General features: G+C 39.6%; 1 protein-coding gene and 1 long non-coding RNA gene across 2 annotated transcripts in view; one reads left to right on the top strand and one right to left on the bottom strand.

The window, feature by feature from the left end:
- PLCG1-AS1 (PLCG1 antisense RNA 1) overlaps positions 1-8,342 on the top strand; it is a 40,007-nt gene extending 31,665 nt beyond the window's left edge. The window contains exons 5-7 of the long non-coding RNA NR_109889.1: positions 5,047-5,164; positions 5,544-5,678; positions 7,512-8,342. This is a non-coding gene — a long non-coding RNA (PLCG1 antisense RNA 1). The remainder of the gene's footprint in view (positions 1-5,046; positions 5,165-5,543; positions 5,679-7,511) is intronic.
- The window catches only part of TOP1 (DNA topoisomerase I), a 95,666-nt gene that overhangs the window by 18,152 nt on the left and 55,836 nt on the right, over positions 1-21,678 (bottom strand). The window contains exons 9-13 of the mRNA NM_003286.4: positions 13,749-13,864; positions 8,995-9,116; positions 7,999-8,121; positions 6,093-6,280; positions 4,983-5,127 (exon numbers count right to left, since the gene is read on the bottom strand). Coding sequence (NP_003277.1) covers positions 4,983-5,127; positions 6,093-6,280; positions 7,999-8,121; positions 8,995-9,116; positions 13,749-13,864 — 694 coding nt within the window. The remainder of the gene's footprint in view (positions 1-4,982; positions 5,128-6,092; positions 6,281-7,998; positions 8,122-8,994; positions 9,117-13,748; positions 13,865-21,678) is intronic.

Below are 21,678 nucleotides of genomic sequence, written 5' to 3'. Positions count from 1 at the left end.
CCAAAGCAATTTTGAAGAATGAAACAAACTTGTCCTACTCAATAGACTTTATAAAGCTACAGTAGTTAAGACAGTATGCTACTGATGCAGAAACAGATACACGAACTAATTAAAGAGGACAGACAGCCCAGAAACAGTCTGACATATATGTAGATATATCTGATATACAAGAGAGGAGGTAATACAACTAAATAGTTCTGTGACAACAGTTTACTCATTTGGAAAATATATTAGGTTTCAACTTCATCCCAATGCAAAAATACATTCTAGTGGATCTAAGACCCAAATGTAAAAAGCAAAACTTTAGAAACATTAGCAAGGATATGGAAAAAGAGGAATACTGTTGTGGGTGGGGGTGGGAGGGGAGGGAGGAGGAGAGTAATGATGTAAACTGAAGTACTTAAGAGAACAATTTGGAAATATCTAATGTATAAAACAAATTTTCATTCATATACACAAGAAACATGTGTTTCTTCCAGCACTGTTTATGAGGGCAAGAGACTGTATAACCATGCTAAATGCCTCTTAACAAGAGAATAGAGGCAGGGTATGGTGGCTAACACCTGTAATCCCAGCACTTTGTGCAGCTGAGGTGAGCAGATCACTTGAGGTCAGTTCAAGACCAGCCTGGCCAACATGGTGAAATCCCGTCTCTATTAAAAATACAAAAATTAGCTGGGCATGGTGGCACACGCCTATAATCCCAGCTACTCAGGAGGCTGAGGCACCAAAACCACTTGAATCCGGGAGGCAGAGGTCACAGTGAGCCAAGATCACGCCACTGTACTCCAGCCTGGGTGACAGAGCGAAGACATGGTCTCAAATGACCAACAACAAAAACCAACAGAATAGATAAGTTTTTATGATATAATAGAATACCATGTAACAAATAAAATGGATTAATTAAAAGTGTAGGTTAAGATAATAAAACCACAAAATCAAAGCTGGAGAGGAATAAACAAGTTGCAGAATGATCCCAGTAACATACCTAATTTAAAACTAAAACCTGTTTTTATTTTACAATAGGTTGTACAATATGTCTTTAGCTTACAATAGTTTACAACATATTGTAAACTAAAAACAAGTTTTAAATTAGTATGTTACTAGTGTGTTACATATTGTAAAATTACATATTGTTTATGAACACATAAATATACTGCAAAAATACAAAAAATATGTATGAGAATAAAAAGACCGAGTTCATAGTAATCTACAGGGAAGAAGGTGAATGGTATACAAGTGACTTCAGCTATGTTTATCAGTATCTTTTATGAAATAAAACAATTGAGCACATAAGACATAATTTTAAGATTTTACAAAGCCAGATGGTGGACATACGAGTGTTCATTACATAATTATCTATTCCTGTATGTTTGAAATGTTTCACTAAAAATAAAACCCCTAATATTTGTATCTACATTTTTTAAATCTAAAAAGAGAATGCTTCTTCCGCTGGCAATATAAAGTTAAAAATTATTCAAGGCACTATCAAACCCCAACCTTTGAAGATCTCACTATTCTGCTGAGTACAAGACAGCCTAAAAGAGAACTGAGAGCAAGCTCAAGAAATCATTTCTTTTTCTCCTAATGGCACCACTTTTCCAGGCCTTTAATGACTCCTATTGGGATCCCATTGCAGTTCAAGTCAGGCACTTTCTCCTGAGCATAAGGTTCAGAGTCTAACTCTGGGTGACTTTTAGGTTCACTACCATGATCATCATCCAGAAACTTGCACAAATGTCTATTGTGTATAGCAGTTAGCTGGATATTGTCTGGAATAAAATTGACTGGCTCTCTGCTCTTGAGGCATTTCACCTGGTCTATCTAACAAGGATCTCAGCCCTCAGAGAGGCTCCAACAATTAATTAACTCTAATCCTTACCTGTACAAGTACTCAGCATACATTATGTATCTGTCACCTCTCTCCATCCCCATTGCCATCATTTGTCTTAAGTCATCGCTGTTTCTTGCCTGGAGTATGCAACAGCTTCCCATTGATCTCTCTACTTCTTGTTTGTGTCCAATCCAGTCTCCGCAGAGCAGCAGTCAGAATGATCAATTATGTAACGAGTTTCCAAAATACAAATCTGGTGTCATTTCCCTCTTTAAATCCCAGGTTGGTGGCTTCCTTTTAAACTTAAAGGCCCTAAAACTTGCCCAAGATCCAACAGCTAGTAACTCTTCAATCTTCTTAGAGCGTATGCTCCTCATGCTCTCCTGTGACATCCACTGCTAAATGTGGCCAGCTTTAAATGCCATGTTAAAGAGACTGAGCCCTTAAAGGACTTTGAACAGTGGAGTTGTCTTGAACATAGCTTCATTTCAGCAAGATTTACAGGCATTATATGTAAATCACACCAGTAGATTTACACTGCTGTAAATGCTGCAAAGGAAAAGTACAGGGTGCCATCTGAGAGTATACCGGGGTACCTGATCCAGCCTCTAGGATTCAGGGATGGCCTTTCTGAAGAGTTAACATTTAAGATGAGATTTACAGGATGAATAGGATTGTATCCCTGGAAAGAATAGGAGAATGGGTGTTTCTAATAGAGAAAATAAAGTAGCCTTTTGAAATCCCAGAGGTGAGCAAGAGCTTGGTCGTTCTGAGGGAAGAAAGAGGCAGGAGAGGAAGCTATATAGTGAGGCCAGCCAGATCTTCAGGTACTAATTTAAAAAAATTTTTTCTTTACATTATCCTTTAAATGTTACCTCTTCAGAAAGGCCATCCCTGAACCCCAGAGGCTGGATCAGGTACCCTGGTATACTCTCAGATGGCACCCTGTACTTTTTCCTTTGCAGCATTTATAACAGTTCATATTTACTGATGTGATTTACATATAATGCCTGTAAATCTTGCTGAAGTGAAGCTGTGTTCAAGACACTCCACTGTTCAAAGTCCTTTAAGGGCTCAGTCTCTTTAACATGGCATTTAAAGCTGGCCACATTTAGCAGTGGATGTCACAGGAAAGCATGCAGAGACTGAAGATCTAAGTTACATTCTAAGAAGATCTAAGTTAGAGTTACTAGCCACTGAATCTTGGGCAAATTTTTGGGCCTCCCAGAGACTAAATTTACTCATCTATAAATGGTGGCATTAGTATATGTATGTGCGGTATGCTTAGAAGATCCAAATGTTAACTTATGTGCAAATGTTTTTAATAGTAACTCTGTTATTTTGATCATTTTTAAGTTGTGGTAAAATATGCATTGATACCATTTACCACTAGTGACATTTAGTAGTATATCCACAATGTTGTGCAACTGTCACCACTTGATAATTCTTTTTATCACACCTTTTCTCAACCCCTATCCTCAACATACTCTGCTTACCACCCTCCCCTTTGTCCACGACACAGTTCTCTCTTGTTTGAAATACTACTTTTAAGACCCAACCATAACCTACTTTTCTTCATAAAGTTATTGTTGATCTCTAAGGTGCTGCAAATAACTCCTCTGTTTATCTAATGCATTTTACTTTTATCTTTCTTCTAATACAACTGAATTCTTACCTGATTTGCCCACCAGCCTATAAGTTCCTTAAGGGCTAAAACTATTATTTTTCTGCTTTTGTAGCCATATATACAGCTTTGCGATACTTCAGAAGAGGAATACATGTTTCTTTAAATGACTAGTCTGCTCAACATAAGTGTTCGCTTTCTGATTTTGTACTTATCTAAACTACAAAAACTACATTTTATTTTTATTTATGTATTTAGTTATTTATTTGAGACAGAGTCTAAGTCTCTTGCCCAGGCTGGAGTGCAGTGGCGTGATCTCAGCTCACTGCGACCTCTGCCTCCCAGGTTCAAGCGATTCTCCTGCCTCCGCCTCCCAAGTAGATGGGATTACAGGCACCCACTACCACGCCTGGCTAATTTTTGTATTTTTAGTAGAGACAGGGTTTCGCCATGTTGTCCAGGCTGGTCTCGAACTCCTGACCTCAGGTGATCCGCCCATCTCGGCCTCCCAAAGTGCTGGGATTACAGGCTTGAGCCACCACACCCAGCCAGAAAAGTATATTTTATAATTGGAGAAAATATATAAACAGGTATTTTTCATTAGAAAAGTAGTGATATACAGAAGAACACAGGGCTACAAGCCAGAAAATGTACAGTTTAGTCTTGCCTATTCACATAGCCTTTTCAGCTGTGGCTTTCACATTTTAACAGATGTTATAACCTATGAACGAGGATCAAGAAGGTCTTTAGTCCCAGGTCTCCTGCACATAAAACAGTTAACAGTCTACATAGAACTAATTCCTTGACTGTGTTTTTGTCTCTGTTAGGTTTATATTTCATAGTATGTTGGAGGGAAGAAGTTCGTGGGACTCTCCAAAGCTAGATATACATAGCTATCTGGCAAACAAAAACTGATTTCCCCCAAGGCAGTTATCTCCTTGCAATAACACTATCAATAAATAACAGTGCATAGGTATGTAACACAGTTTTATGATGTGCTTTCACACACATTTCATTTGGCCCTGGTGAACCTACCCAGATGAGACTGCAGGAAGCCAGAAGTATGTAAGACATTAGATTTTACAACTTGTTTCAGGATATACAGAAACTACATTCCCTTCTCATAACCAAGAGAGGTGAGGAAGTAGAAGACATCTGCAGAGGCCAATATACAATCACCATACTTCAACACATTCTGACCACTGGACGTTAAGCAATATGAAGGCAGGGCCTACGTCTATCTTGTTTACCAACATAATTCCTAGCATCAAATGTATACTGTGTGGGGCACATTTGGGATTTCAGTAAATATTTGTGAATTAATAAATAAGATTACAATGTGACCAAAAAAATGGAGGCACTGTAGGAAGATCACCATAATGCTAACTATGAAAGTACTTGCCTTCTTTCAATGGGGAGGATTTTTAATTTGTCAAAGTGATTCTAGAGGACGAGAACGTTACATTTCAACAAAAAAAGGTTATCAGCACCATGAACCAGTGCAGCTCTCAACTATCCCCTTACCTTGATTCGTGAACTAGGGTTAAGCATGATGTATTTAATGGAACCTTGGATGTTCTCTGTCCAGGAAACCAGCCAAGTAACCTTGTTATCATGCCGGACTTCTTTCCACTTATGTCCTGGAGGAGGAGAAGGAACCTTGGCATCTCTGGAAATAACAGAGCACGAGGATAGTGAAATAAGATGTGAGGAATAATTTCACCTTTCATGACCCCAAGTGGACCTATCTGCTGAGCATAATTTTCCAAGTTTCCTTCTTAACAGTCAATACAGTAGTCCCACCTTATGCATGGTTTTACTTACCCTCAGCCAACTGTCATCCGAAAATATTCAATACAAAATTCCAGAAATAAACATTTTGTAAGTTTTAAATTGCACATCATTCTGAGGAGCATGATGAAATCTCTTGTAGTCCCACCTGGGATGCGTGAACCATATATACAACATACCATGCTGTATATGTCACTTGCCCATGGGTAACCTAGTAGCTGCCTTATTTATCAGGTTGACTTTAATGGTTTTACATTGCTTGTGTTCAAGTAATCCTTCTTTTACTTAATAAAGGCCCCAAAGTGTGAAAGTGGTGATGTTGGCAATTTGGATATGCCATACAGAAGCTGCACAGAGTGCTTTAAATGAAAAGGTGGAAATTATCGACTTAATAAAAAAAACTGTATGGTGAAGTTGCTAAGATCTAAGGTAAGAATTAACCTTCCATCTGTGAAATTGTGAAGAAGGAAAAAGAAAGTCGTGCTAGTTTTGCTGTTGTGCCTCAGACTGCAAAAGTTATAGCCACTCTATGTGATAAGTACTTAATAAACATGGAAAAGACATTAAATTTGGGGGTGGAAGACATCAACAGAAATGTGTTCCAAGTGACAGCAATTGGGTCGAAGTTGCAGGCATCCACTGGGGGTCTTGGAACATATCCCCTGTGGATGAGGGGAGACAACTGTACCTCAAAAACATCTGGAGACCTACGCATGAAATACTGTCCTGCTCTTAAGTATCTCCCTTCCCAAACAGTCCTGTGTAACCTGGGAAATATTCCCAAGTACAATAAAGGACGCCCTCCACCCCCTTTTTGGCCCATAGGATGAAGTGCGAGCTCACTTGCTACAGTTGATGATTATATCCTCGGGCATGATTCGTCTCTTCAGCATGCCCATCTTGGGGTGGTTGCCGCGGCCACGGAAAAGTCCAGGAGGCTCTATCTTGAAGTTAGCAATCCTCTCTTTGTGGTTATCCATAATACAGAATCCATATTCTTTCAGTAATTTTTCATTCTCCTCTTTGATTTTCTGGAAGACAGCAAGAAAGTACTCAAAATAGATTCAGATTGCTGTTCTCTACTAATGCATTTTATCTCTTGTGGGAGACTAAGTCAAGGTAGAGGAAAGTCTGAAAAATCACTAAAAAATAAATTCAAATAAAGGAAAACCTCTAGTGGTTTTCTCAAACTTAAATATCATAAAATTCCCCAAAAAGATCTGCCTATAAGGATTGATTTCAACTAGATTCAAAACTGATTCTTGTGTCTTAAAGGATATATGTTTGTAAATGTTATTTGGGTGTTTTTAAATGTACTTTAAAAATTCATACTGTTTTACTGAGTACTATCAAAACAGGAAATGGAGAAGAGTCTCTGATAGAGCCTCATAAAAGAATAGCTCAAGCCATTTAATTAAACAGCAGTTAAACAGCTTAAAAACGTGGGTTTTTAAGCTCAGACAGATCTGTCACTAATTTTTTTGTAGGTATACAGGTATATACACTCTATACTATGATCCTTGCTCCAAAAAGGTGAGGGATGGTGGGGGAGATTTTGAGCCTCCTTACCCTCTATTGACTCTGCGTTTTATATACTTATTGATTCAGTTTAACTAAGTTGTGCTGCCTTGTGGGTGGGAACAGATTCAGACCTTGCTGGCAGCAGGTGTCCTTGGCAGAGGCTCTGACAAGGGGATGTTTATAAAATCTATCTTTGGATCAATATTCTAAGAACAAAGCTCCAAAGTGATCTTTTAAGTTTCAAAATGCCCCTGAAGTAAATAATATACTAAATTTCACTAACTTGGAATATTGAGGATAAGATTTACCTGAGACACAAAGTCTGATGCAATTAACATTCTTATAGTAATGCATTAATTTTTAAACTAGTGACCAAATAAGTACCATGAAACAATGAGTTATATCAATACAATGGTCTGAATTACGTAAACACGCAAGTCCTTTAAAATACTGAAACTACAGGAATTTGAAGTGCAAAGAATTCCTTAAAATCCTTAACTTCTGGACTTCCGATTGGTAAAAATGAAATTCTAGCCTGGATTCCTTTAGTTCAGGGGCTGACAACTTTTTCTAGATAGAAAATATTTTAGGCTTGAGTGCCACACAGTCTCTTTTGCAACTACTCTCTTTTGCAACTACTCATCTCTGTCATTGTTGCATAAACACAGCCGTAGATAATATGTAGACAAGTAGAGGCAGCTGGTTCCAATAAATTTTTTTTTTTTTTTTTTACAAAAACAGGCAGCCTGTAGAAGAAAAATGACATCCCAGCTGGATACCAGAAAGATCCTTCAGTAATGAGGATGGCCAAGGCTGGAAGATGGAGATGGATGAGCATCACAAGATTCCAGAGTAAAATAGATCAAAGAGCAGGGAGGTACATGGCCAATATGATTTCATCTGTCTTAAATCCTTAATATCCAGTAGCCACTGTGGGACAGGTCTGCCCATCCTTAATTACTATATTATTGGCTGGAGTTACTGACTGGTTTTTAGGTCACTGAAGCACCAAGATTCCTGTACAGAGCTACTGAGCAAAGTACTTGTTCACAATTTTCAGTCTAACTAAAACCTTTAAGAAAATTTAGACTTTGAGAACTCTAAGTCTTTAGCATAGAATGATGTGAAATTACTGATGTTAATGTTGTGTCATAAGAACCAAGAAGAAAGTTAAATGAACCAATCACAATTCCAGAATTCTCCAGAGGTTTAATAAATTCTGTAGTACCAGTTTCTCTTCCTTGCTCATCTGTTTCCGAGCTTCCGTCTGGGCTTTGAAATACTGGCTCATCTGGGTAAAATCACATTTGCTTAGGTTGGTGATAATATTCTTCTCTTCATTAGTCATTTCCTAGTCAAAAGAAAATGGGGAGATGAAAGAAAAACAACGAAAATACACTAATAAGTCCTTGGGTTTCTTTGCAAATACACCCAAGCACCATTTTTTCAGTCAAAGGTTTCTGGAAGTAGCCAATCTCAATTAATGAATTTTGAAAAAACAAAAAAATACAGTTGTATTACTTTATTATAAAATATGTACTTACTAATATTAAAATGTTTTAAAATGACTTATCATGGAAAAAAATGAATTCTTATGTGGTTTCTTAGACTCCGTGGCACACAGCCCCCAGGCATTATGAATACAAGTTTGAAATCCCATACTGATTCTCTCTTGGAAACATTACCCCTATTCTATTCATTTATTAAGTCTGCTTTTTCTGAGCTAGTTCAGGAAGTAAACTTTACTGCTGCCTCTGTCCACATTATCCAAATTGAGAATAATGAGATTTTAAAAAATCACCTAGGCAAATATAGTATATGTGGTTTCAAGAGTAGAAAGTACCTAAAATAAATGAGCAAGAATTAACAGCGAGAGGGACATCAGATTAACATTTCTCTTTGCAACAGCAGACACGGGGCAGTCCTGCAGCGACAAACTTTCCTGTGCGCAACTGGAGTTGAGGTTTTCTGTTTGGCCTAATCTGATAACCCCCACCTACCTGCCATCACATGAGAGCCAATAGCAAAGATATACAAGTACTCTTGTTGGACAGAAACCCTACATAATATAGTAAATGAAGACAAAAAATACGCAAGTTTAAATACAACAAAATCCATACAACTCAAATTTTACATCAGGAAATGTTTTGCAAAATGATAATTTATTACTTAGTACTTGATTGTTTTGCAAGGTACTAGGATATTAACACATGGGCTACAGTACCTTTCTCCAGTCTTTAAAGAAATTTTTCCTAAATATTTCCTTGGTAGTATATTCATGGTCGAGCATTTTTGCAAAGAACGTAGCTACTTCCTCTGCTTTGGGGCTCAGCTTCATGACTTTACCTAGAGAAAAAAGTGGTTCCAAAAAGTGAGGTATAGTATTCATGTTCTAAGCATAAATACCCAGGGCTAGCGAATTCTCTTTAATAATGGTTTGCCTTCTCATGGTATATAAAGGTCTGGTGACACATAGTAGCAACAACAACAAAGACAACATACTGATTTATATCTACTTGTACAAATTCTCCTTCTCTTTAGCATATATTTACCTGGGTCATTCTCTGGAGACTATGCCAGTTAATTGTTCCCAGGTGCCTGCTCAGGACAGGGATGACCTGGGGGAGGCCCAGTCACTCTTCCTTTTCCTTTCAGCAAGCAGGGTCCTTTACACCTCTTCAATGGTTTTTAAAAATCAAATCCTCAGAGGGACTCCTGCCACTGCTAAGCTAAGCAGCCTCTGTTCAAGAAGGGGAGGAAGGGATAGGGCAGGGAGTGGAAGAAAGGAATTGTGGGGAAAAGAAATAGGCATCTTTCTTCTTCAAAGTTAGGTGGGTGGAATATGAATAAAAAAATATATATCCATACTAGGCAAGCCCAGATTTCCCATATGAAAAGCCTAATAAGACCTTCTTCTAGAACTTTGCTATTCAACAAGTGGTTCACAGACCAGCAGCATTGGCATCATGTGGGAGTTTAGAAATGCAGAATCCCAGGCCCCCTCCTAGACCTACTGAATCCTATACAGAAATTGCATTTTTAACAAGACTTGGATGCACACTAGAGTTTGCGACACACTGCTCTGGAACATGGGTACCATGATGCTGCCTCTTTCAGGGAACCAGGATGCATCCACAGCACAAGGGATGACTGGGGTTCCTGGTGTATCCAATTGTTTATGTAAAAGCTGTCTAAAGGGGCTGGGAGCAGTGGCTCATGCCTGTAATCCCAGCACTTTGGGAGGCTGAGGCAGGCAGATCACTTGAGGTCAGGAGTTCCAGATCAGCCTGGCCAACATGGCGAAAACCCATCTCTACTAAAAATATAAAAAATTAGCCGGGCGTGGTGGTGGGAGCCTGTAACTCCAGCTACTCAGGAGGCTGAGGCATGAGAATCGCTTGAACCCAGGAGGCAGGGGTTGCAGTGAGCCAAGATCACGCCACTGCACTTCAGCCTGGGCAACAGACTGAGACTGTCTCAAATAAACAAAAAGCTGTCTAAAGGGACTCAGATGTTTTCACAATGAAAGCTGCTAACTGGTAAAGAAAATCTGAATAGGGCCTATGGGTTTTATATACCTGATTTAGTTAATAAAGCAATGAAAGAAAAGTACTTGGGAATTTAATCCACTTTTCAAACAAATGCTTTTGACAGTACTCTTAGTGCCAATTTCCATTCTTTCTTAAAAATCCAACTTTACAACATCACCTCGAACCAATCCATGCTATACTAAGAGCATTTGGCTATACTTAAAATGAGGTTAACTATAATTCCACCACCTTACTATTACACAGGTATTAATAATTCACCAAGGCTGCCCACATTCTTTATAGAAAACTAAAATTTAACCAGAAATCCATTTATTTCAAAACTCAGAAGACATCTTATCTCATAATGATATGCAATCTGACTTTGCAGGGGTGTAGAGAACTGTAGCACAATATTGAAACAGTTATAATAGAAAGAACCCACTTTGGACGCCATTAACTTAAAAGGCCAACAGGTGGCGCAGCTGCCCCCATCAACCCCCAAGCTTCTGCTTTGGAAGAAAGACACTTCGGGGAAGATAGGCTGTGTATTAAAAGATTCCCTGAACTTCTTTAGAAAACTGTAACATGTTTCCAATATAAAGGAAAACATTAAGTCATTAGGAATAAAATAAATGAAATAAAATGGCAAGAAAAAAATGTAAACTGTTAACACCATTTAAAAAAAAATGTGGCTGAGCATGGTGGTTCACATCTGTAATCCCAGCACTTTAGGAGGCGGTGCAAGGATCACTTCAGGTCAGGAGTTCCAGACCAGCTTGACCAACATGGTAAAACCCTGTCTCTATTAAAAATACAAAACTTAGGTGTGGTGGCACGTGCCTGTTAATTTCAGCTACTTGGGAGGCTGAGGCATGAGAATCGTTTGAACCTTGGAGGTGGAGGCTGCAGTGAGCCAAGATTGTGCCACTGCACTCCAGCCTGGGTGACAGAGTGTGACTCTGTCTCAAATAAATAAATATAAAAATAAATTTAAAAAAAATGAGATTTTGGGCTGTTTTACTGAATTCTGTCCTAATAGAGGGAGAAGCAACTGTGACTCCTCCTATTTTAGATGAGCTGTCAAAAGATGAAATGATGGCTCCCTGCATCAGAGTAGTGGGAGGATGACTGGAAGGTTCCTGGCAATGTTAACACTTTGTGGAAAAGGCTGAGCTCCAGGAAAAGGAAACTGCTGAATCAAAGCTGTAAACTGAAGGTCCTCAGAGAAGGCAGTAATTCACTGCTTCAGCTAGCCCATGCCCCACCTCCCTGGCAAGTTCTAAAGGAGTCTAAGAATTCTCCTCCCCAGAGAGTAGGCAGCACTTACTGTATCAGTTTGAAGTAAAGTCAAATATGACTTCTTGACTTACTGCAGAGTAAGAGTTCACACAATCAAAGAGAAGAAATCCCAGCAGAGGACCAGCTGAGAAAATGCTGGAGCCCTAAAGCAGGATCCTGTAAAGGAGGACTGGGCAAGAATGGGAGGAAAGGACTATGGCAACCTGTGAACTAGACCAGGCCTCTGCTTCCTATCTTGAAAAGGAAGAGAAACCACAGGACTAGGGAATCTAGCTTTCCCTCCCATCACTTTGAACCTCAAAGTGAGGCTTTACCAGCTGAGCATCCTAAAGCTCTTGGTAAGTCCAGACCAGGCCTACGGAATACCTACGCTTTGAGATGGTGCTCTTCAAGGTTCTAGGCCCTTTCTCTTAATTAGGAGTTTTGGCTTTGAGTTATAGTTAAGAGTCTCCAGGAATGACCAGCGTGAGGGCTGAAAGAACTGTCTTAGGCTCTCTGGTCAACAGGTCAAAATGTTTACATAACATAAGCATTTGCCTCTGAGATTATGGAGTCCTGTTAGGCTGCAAACTCCCCAAGATCAGGGTCTAAGTCAGTAGTACTATCCACTGCTGGGTCTTGGTGTCTGACCACAAATACATTCAATAAATATGTTTTATTTATTTATTTATTATTTTATTTTTTGAGACAGGGTCTCACTCTGTCACACAGGCTGGAGGGGAGTGGCACGATCTAGGCTCACTGCAATCTCTGCCTCCTGGACTCAAGCAATCCTCCCACCTTAGCCTCCCGAGTAGCTGGGACTACAGGCGTGCACCACCACACTTGGCTAATAAATATGGCATTTTAAAAAACAAATTTCAGCTTGCCAAGTTTGGCACTTTCTTCAGTTGCAGACCCAGCCCTTTAGTGTAAACTACTACCTAGGCCTACAAGCATTGGTGGACCTAAGGCCACTACTGGTGGGAAGAGAGATGCACCAGAATGCCTGAGTGTTCACCACTGATGCTTTTCAGCAGTTATCCTGCCCAGTGTTTCTCAAAGTTTGGTCAGCAGACCACTTGGTTCAGAAGTACTCAATCCCACCCCAGAACTTTTTCTTTTCAGTGCGGGCGGTGGGATGGGTGAGAAGAAAACAGTGGGGGGCTGAGGGTGGGAAAAATGGTGGAGAAATGGGGTGGTGAAATAACAGTGGCCAAAAGACGGTGGTAAGACAAGTGGAGGTGGAAGAGGAATGCTGGGGAAAGGAGAAGGGGGACTGTCAGGAAAGGGGACAGAAGAGGGAAGGATGGTTGGGAAAGGGGAAAGAAGAAGAGGGACGGTGGGGAAAGGGAAAAGAAGCCCACCCCACAACTGTTAAATGGGCTCAGATCCACTTTGGTGAGTCATAAGCACATAAGGGTATGAGGAACAATGCTCTAACCATTTCTGGATAAAACTCATGGAATGAAGAAAATCAGTTATTACCATCTACATACTGCTACACTGCCAACAGGAGGCATGTCAAAGGCTACCCTCAAATCCTTCAAACCCAAGGATACAAATACCAACGACAGATAAGGGACAATTCTGAGGGTTCTAAGAGACCCAGGCAGGGCATTTCTTTAAAGCAGCTCATCAGACTTGATTGCACATATATCAAAGGCATAGTGTTATGCTACACAGAATAGGTGACAGATGCCTACCAGCCCTATCTAGAGATGGATGGCAGACTATTAATCCTCGACCATATACTAATACTGTTTCTAGTGATGAGCAGCTTGTCCGATTGCATTGTTATATTGCTAACATAAAATACTACCATTCAAGTGAGGCTTTTCTAATAACTCTTGCGAAGAGTTGCTCCCTAGAAATGAAGTTCAGATCAAAACCTTCAGCTTGTGGACCACACACTGTTAGCCATGTTGACAAACCTTTTTTGGACTATGTAGGGAAGACATGAATAGCCCCTTTTCCATGGCACTTTTTCAGCAGCAAATGAGCCTTTAAGAGTTAACACCTGATGCCCCTTCCTCAAAATTGCATGGCAATAAAACAAAATGAAATAAAAAGGATTATCTATTACATAGGATCCTTCCTTGTTTTCTATCCCTAAATAGAAGCAGATTTCTTTTCCTGGCCAAGAATCAAGAACCTTGAAACAACTCACCATCATAATAAAACTTGACATTCTCTGGAAGAGGCTCATATGGTGGGGCAAATACTGGACCTTTATGTTCTAGGAATTTCCACTTGATGCCTTCAGGATAGCGCTCTTCTTCCCACCTTTAAAAGACAAAGCACAGCCTCATTTAGTGATCGCCTTGTCTAACATGGGGATCATCACTGATTAAATGCCAAATAATTATCCGCTCAACTGATTAGTGCTCTGGAATGACTTCTGGGCCTCACATTCAAGGCCTGGATCAAAAGAACCAGTGTCTCTCATTTTGAAAAAGCCAACGCTCACAAGTAAGATGAAATACTGTGGTGAATAAAGGAAAATACATTTCAACAGCTCAGTTTAAGAATACTGGACAGAAGAGATCAACAATGAAGGAGCTCAGTAACAAGTGAGGGACTTGAAAATGTAAACAGTTGTTTTACCACAATGGCATACATGACAGAGGGATTGTTTACATTGTTTGTAAGGAAAAGGCCTCCTCAGAGTGGTGACGTCAGATGGAAGGTAGAGGAGAAAACAACCCTATGAGAAAGGACATAAAGGAAGACGACTAGGAAATGATAGCTTAACTGGGGCATGTTGAGTTTAAGGTACTTACGCATTACCTGGAACTATCTAGCAAACACTGATAAGTGAATCTAAAGCTCAGTGGGAACAACTTTTTGAAAATGTATTTTTAAAATGGTCGAACATAAGAAAAAAATGAGTAATACAATAAACACCATATACGCCTGTAATCCCAGCACTTTGGGAGGCCGAGGCGGGCAGATCACGAGGTCAGGAGGTCGTGATCCAGGTCAGGAGCCTGGGCAATGTGGTGAAACTCCGTCTCTACTAAAAATACAAAAATTAGCTGGGCATGGTGGCGCGCACCTGTAGTCCCAGCTGCTCAGGAGGCTGAGGCACGAGAATTGCTTGAACCCAGGAGGCAGAGGTTGCAGTGAGCCAAGATTGTGCCACTGCACTCCAGCCTGGGCAACAGAGTGAGACTCCATCTCAAAAAAAAAAAAAAAAAAAAAAGGTTAATAATTTGCTACATTTCCTATTTTGGCCGAACCATTTTCAAAGTTGGTTGCAGATTTGATACTTCACCACTAAATATTTCAGCAAGTATCTCTATAAAAATAATATTCTTCCACATAACCACAAAACTATTATCACATCTAACAAAATAATCTCCTAGTATAATTCTAATTCCCAGTCCATATTAAAAACTTCCCTATTTTATCTAAATTTATTTTATAGACCAGGATCCAACTCAGGCTCACAAATTGCAACTGGCTATGCCTCAAGTTTCTTTTACTCGAATAGATAACTAACTTACTACCCTCATATTTACTTTCCAAGTACAATATTTTATTTATTATTTTATTATCAATCATTCAGCCATGGAACAAGTCCAATATTTTAAACAAAGTTCAGAAACATCAAATAAAAATTACATGTATCAAACCATATTGTAACAATGGTATTACTATAAAACCAAAGTCAACATATATGGTCAAATGATTTACAACAAGATGCTTAAGACCATTCAATGGAGAAAGAACAGTTTTTTCAACAATAGTGTTGGCAAAATAATCAAACTGGGTCTTTACATTATACACAAAAATTAATTCAAAATGGATCAAAGACCTAAATATAAGAGCAAAAATATAAAACTCTTAGAAGACAACATAGGGGAAAAGCTTCACAATATTGGATTTGACAGTGATTTATTGGATATGACACGTAAAACACAGGTAACAAAAAGAATAAATGAATTGCAGCTGGGCAGAGTACCTCACACCTGTAATCTCCGCACTTTGGGAGGCTGGGGTGGGCGGATCACTTGAGGACAAGAGTTCGAGACCAGCCTGGCCAACATGGCGAGACCCCCCCGTCTCTACTAAAAATACAAAAATTATCCAGGCATGGGGGCATACGCCTGTAATCCCAGCTACTCAGGAGACTGAGACACAAGAATCGTTTGAACCTGGGAGGTGAAGGTTGCAGTGAGCCGAGATCACGTGACTGCACTCCAGCCTGGGCAACAGAGAGACACTCTGTCTCAATAAATAAATAAACTGAACTTCACTGAACTTAAAAACTTCTGTGCATCAAAGGACACTTCAAGAGAGTGAAAGACAACTCACAGAATAGGAGAAAATATTTGTAAATCATGTATCTGATAAAGGGTTAACATACAAAATATATAAACAGCTCCTACATCTCAATAAACAACCCAATTAAAAAAATGGGCAAAGTCTCAGTCTTAAGGTGGAGGGGAAAAAAAAGATAAAATTAAAAATAGGGGCTGGGCGCAGTGGCTCACGCCTGTAATCCCAATACTTTGGGAGGCCAAAGCGGGCGGAGGGATCACTTGAGGTCAGGAGTTCGAGACCAGCCTGGCCAACATGGCAAAACTCTGTATCTATTAAAAATTCAAAAAATTAGCCAGGCGTGGTGGTGCACGCCTGTAATCTCAGCTACTCAGGAGGCTGAGGCATGAGAATCACTTGAACCTGGGAGGCAGATGTTGCAGTGAGCCAAGATTGCGCCACTGCACTCCAGCCTGGGCGACAGAGCAAGACTCCATCTCAAAAACAAAAAAAAACACGTGGGGGTGGGGCAAAGAACTTGAATGGTCATTTTTCTAAAGAAGATATACAAGTGGCCAATAAGCACCTGCAAAAATATGCAACATCAATAATCATTAGGAAAATACCAATCAAAACCACAATGAGATACCATTCATACTCATAAGGATGGCAATAAAACAAAAAATAACAAGTGTTGGTGAAGGTGTAGGGAAGCTAGCACCCTCGTGTGGTCCTGGTAGGAACGTAAAAAGGTGCAGCCAATGTGGAAAAGATAGTATGGCAGTTCCTCAAAAAGTTAAGCACAGAAATGCCACATGACCCAGCAATTCCATTCCCAGGAATATACTCAATATTCAAACAAATACTTGTACACGAATGTTTCACAGCAGCACTATCTGCAACAGCCAAAGGCAGAAATAACCCATGTCCATCAAAAGATGAATGAATAAACAAAATGCAGGACAAACAATGGAATATTATTTAGCCTTTAAAAGTCAGAAAATTCTGAAACATGCTACAATATGGACGAGCGTTGACATTCTGTTAAGTGAAATGAGTCAGTCACAAAGGACAAATACTGTATGACTATTAATACAAGGTACCTAAAGTAGTCAAATTCATAGAGACAGAAAGTAGAATGGTGCTTACCAAGAACTGGGGGAATAGGCTGGGCACGGTGGCTCACGCCTGTAATCCCAGCACTTTGGGAGGCCAAGGCGGGCAGATCATCTGAGGTCTGGAGTTTGAGACCAGCCTGGCCAACATGGCGAAACCCCGTCTCTACCAAAAATATAAAAAATTAGCCGGGAATGGTGGTGGGAGCCTGTAATCCCAGCTACTTGGGAGGCTGAGGCAGGAGAATTGCTTGAACCCAGGAGGCGAAGGTTGCAGTGAACTGAGATCACACCACTGCACTCCAACCTGGGCGACAGAGCGAGACTCTGTCTCAAAAAAAAAAAAAAAAAAAAAAGAACTGGGGCAACAGAGAAGTGGGGAATTGTTAATAACTACAGAGTTTCAGTTTTGCAAGATGTAGAGTTCTGGAGATGGTGATGGTGCACAACAATATGAATGTACTTAATGCCACCGAATTGTACACTTAAAAATGGTTAAGATGATAAATGTTATGTCATATGTATTTTACACAATTTAAACAAAAATATTTAACAGAATCTTAGACCTCAAAGGAATATTAAAGATCTTCTATAACTAACCTACCACTTTTTCAGGTATGAAATTGGCAGAGTCATTGATATATTAATAGAAGGATCTCAATGCAGGAAACCACCCAATCCTACAGTCTATTACTCTCCAAATAGAGAAAATATATATATATGTAGGTGTATGAGAGCATCTGCAAGGAGCCTGTCTGCAGCAGTCACAGAGTAACCGTGAGGAGATTCCGAACGCCACCCTTTCCCTTATCCTGGGACTTTGGCACCATTCTTCTCATCGACTACAGTGTTTTTATTTATTTATTTATTTTTTGAGACAGAGTCTCGCTCTGTCGCCCAGGCTGGAGTGCAGTCGCGTGATCTCCGCTCACTGCAAGCTCCACCTCCAGGGTTCACACCATTCTCGCGCCTCAGCCTCCTGAGTACCTGGGGACGACAGGTGCCCGCCACCACGCCCAGCTAATTTTGTTTTTGTATTTTTAGCAGAGACAGGGTTTCACCATGTTAGCCAGGATGGTCTCGATCTACTGACCTCGTGATCTGCCCGCTTCGGCCTTCCAAAGTGCTGGGATTACAGGCGTGAGCCACCACGCCCGGCCCTACAGTGTTTTTAAATCAAGACTCCAAACTGTTTTTACGACTCCTATTTCAACATGTGTATCCTGAAGACCCACAGCAACTTCTTTACCATTTAAGCAAATTAAGAGATTCAGCAAATCACAACACTAAACTTCAGTTTAAACAGAAAGACAGAATATCTGTTTCAGTAAGCTCATGTGACTGGGCTGACAGCTATTATTATACAAATAAAAGCAAACAGTTCTGTCCTTTTAGCCTCCCCATGAGTGCATATATCCGCCCCCCGCAATTTAAAAACAAATAAACAAACAAAAACATGTACTTAGACATCGAAATGGCTTCCCTTTGGCAGCTTGACTTGAATAATCAAGTACCAATTTAATAATAAAATTTGCTTGAAGGGGGAAAGGTGGAAAAGTGCTAGAAATATAAAGACAGGAAAGTAAACTCCATGTGCTGTTTGATATCAAGTTCCCTTGCAGTTAACAAGCACTTCACAGTATGCTATAAAACTCATATTTAATTTTTTTAAATTTAGAAATAAAGGTCAGATGCTGTAGCTTCTGAATGCTAATCCTTGAAATTAAGGGAAGTTTTTCTGGTTTGAGCAAAATGTCAATAATCCATATTCCATAAATTTCTTACCACTATCATTGACCATATATTTATGAGTCTTGGTCTTGCAACACTAATTCCTTAAAACATTATAGTCCTGACTCATCACAGCATTTTACCTTTGCTAAGAGATTGAAAACTCCATTTAAAGTCACACCTAACACCTGCAATAAACTCGCCAGGTAATTCTTTATGAAGAATCATCTGTTGAGAATTAACTGGCAACTTATATTCCCAGGTCAGCCCTGACACAAAAGTGTACTTAATTAACCCAACAGTGCTGAAACCCTGTTCAGCTACAATGGCCAACAGTTAAAAATCAGGACATCTGGGATAAACAGGATTTCATGTATGAACCCAAGCACACTGCCACCACTTATAACAATGTTTCTATGGAGATAACGTGATATAGCAAAGAAACCCTGAGGGACCTGGACCTTTTCCAACTGAACAATTACCAAAGGAGGGAGATAAAGATCAGAGTAAGTGGTTTTTTCTGGTAAAGACAAACAGGTCTGCGGACTTACGAGGGAAGAAAAAGATCTGCAAATTTGTCAAGCTTGTAAAGTGTGTACTTCTTTTAGTAGGATAGCATAAGGAATAGTAAAAATAAGGGTATCTGCCATTTAACTCCCCGACTAGGTCATCAGTGGCAGTCACTGAGGACTGGATAACTGACTTCAGAGTATGATACACAGCCTCTAGCTATCAGTTAAGAGGCTCTTCATTCATATTTTCAACACCAAAAACTCGGTGTGCCATTCAAGCACTGTGCTTGAAAAGAATGTGCAAGGTTTAACCATCACACCTGAGAAATGCATGCGTTAGAAGCTGTAGCAAAGTCTGCTCATTCCTCAAAAAACAACTTTTAGTTAAAGACTAGCCAGTTCCCCTTTAACCCAAAATAAGAATAAAAACCAAAAGTCATGGTCTGTCAGAGTGAATGTGTGGCAACACTGATAAGGATTTCAACCACAAAAGCAAAATTAGGCTCCTAAACCCCTCAAGGGCACCTAATTCTACACATACAAGGCTGGACCCAGCGCACTTGCCTGGATCCCAAAAAGAGCCAAAGCTCCGAAGTAAAGGGGAGACAGCAGGGAGCTCCTGATAAGGAAATGTATTTGTTCATTTAACAAGCATTTATTGAGTAACTACCACAGAACCCTGACTGATGAATTACTAACCTACCATTCTCTTAACTCCCAATAATAACCTCTAATTTACACAATCACTTTATTTCTAAAAATCATTTTCTTAAAGGTCAAGATCACTGAAAATGTATTAGTTCTTAAGAAAAGTGAAATAAAAATGAGGAAAATAAACCCATGTGGGGTTTTTTTTCTTTTTTTTTTTTTTGAGACAGAGTCTCGCTCTGTCGCCCAGGCTGGAGTGCGGTGGCGTGATCTCAGCTCACTGCAACCTCCGCCTCCCAGGTTCAAGCAATTCTCCTGCCTCAACTTCCCAAGTAGCTGGGACTACAGGTGCGCACCACCACGCCCGGCTAATTTTTGTAATTTTAGCAGAGATGAGGTTTCGCCATGTTGGCCAGGTTGGTCTCGAACTCCTGACCTCAGGTGATCCACCAGCCTCGGCCTCCCAAAGTGCTGGGATTACAGATACGAGCCACTGTGCCTGGCCTTTTACTTTCTGACTCTGACCTCTAGAAAGAGGCAGGGTTGCTCTGCTCTGTGATATTCCTTTTCTATACTTCCCATTTAATCCCATGATGCCATAGCAACATGCGAATCACATAGCTGTCACCGTGTGGCCACATTTCTGCCACTGTGGCTCTCCTTCCCTCTGCCACCTTCCTGGTCAGTGCTCTTTCTCCCTTTCCTCAGAGGTGCTGTGGACATCAAAGTTCTAAATTACAAAAGCCATAAAGGCACATAAACAGGTTTGGAAGGCTATACATCAAATTATGAACAGTGATTACCTCAAAGCTGGAAAGCTGGAAAGGAAAATGAGAATGGGAGAAGACAGGTAAAGGTGACTTTGATTTTTATTCTAACTATTAAATCTGTCAATCATTTGAGTTTTTTCATCATAAACACAAAATCATGTACTGCTGGTATAGTAGTTAAATAGAACATGTTAACAGAAATAAGTATTTTTTAAAAACATGTTTATTTCAAGATTCTAAACAGCAAAAGTAGAAAAGTTCTCCACCTAAATACACTTCTCAAGAGCAACCAGCTATGACTAAACTGTCCTTCATAAAGACTGAATTTTCACTCCTATAGGGAAGGCGAATGCCTGTTTTCTTACATTTGCAACTCTAGATATTTTCACTTATTAATCTTTCCCAATCTGAGAGGCATTAAACAAAAAGATTTATCATTTTTTTTGCATCTTTGATTACTTATGAAGTTGATCACATTTTTAGATGCTTATTAACTATTTTACTAAACTGACTGTTCCTCACATTCTGATTAGATCATTCCTTTCATATTTGTTTTAAAAGAGCTTTTTTTCATATTAGGAATATCAGCCCTTTGTATTGCAAATATTTTGCCTTGAGTTTTTTTTTTTTTTTTAAATGGCATGAAGGTGTCCACCTGCCATAAATTGAACTTTGATGTATCAAATGTAAAACACCTTTCCTTATGGCTCTGGTTATGTCTTGCTTCAAAGGATCTTCACTACTGCACAATTATAAAAATATTCACCCACGTTTTCTTGTTGAGGTTTCTTCTGTTGTTGAACAGGCAGTTTTCCCAACACGACTTACATAATAATCTGTCCTTTCCGTATGGTTTTAAATGCATCTGTACTCTCTTCGTATGCTAAATTCCCACCTATACATAGGTCTGCTTCTACAGTCCATTCTGTTCACAGTGGTGGAAACCAGTTTGAGATCCAATAGATTTAGAACCAGTTAATGATTTCACTAGAAGTTGGAAAACTTACTTCAGAAAGTTACTCTAGAGAAATTGTTTAAAGTATTTCCCCCCAAATATC

Source organism: Homo sapiens, chromosome 20 (genome assembly GCF_000001405.40).
Source record: "Homo sapiens chromosome 20, GRCh38.p14 Primary Assembly".
NCBI lineage: Eukaryota > Metazoa > Chordata > Mammalia > Primates > Hominidae > Homo > Homo sapiens.
Note: the sequence above shows the minus strand (reverse complement) of the source record. Positions and strands in the feature narration are given on the sequence as shown.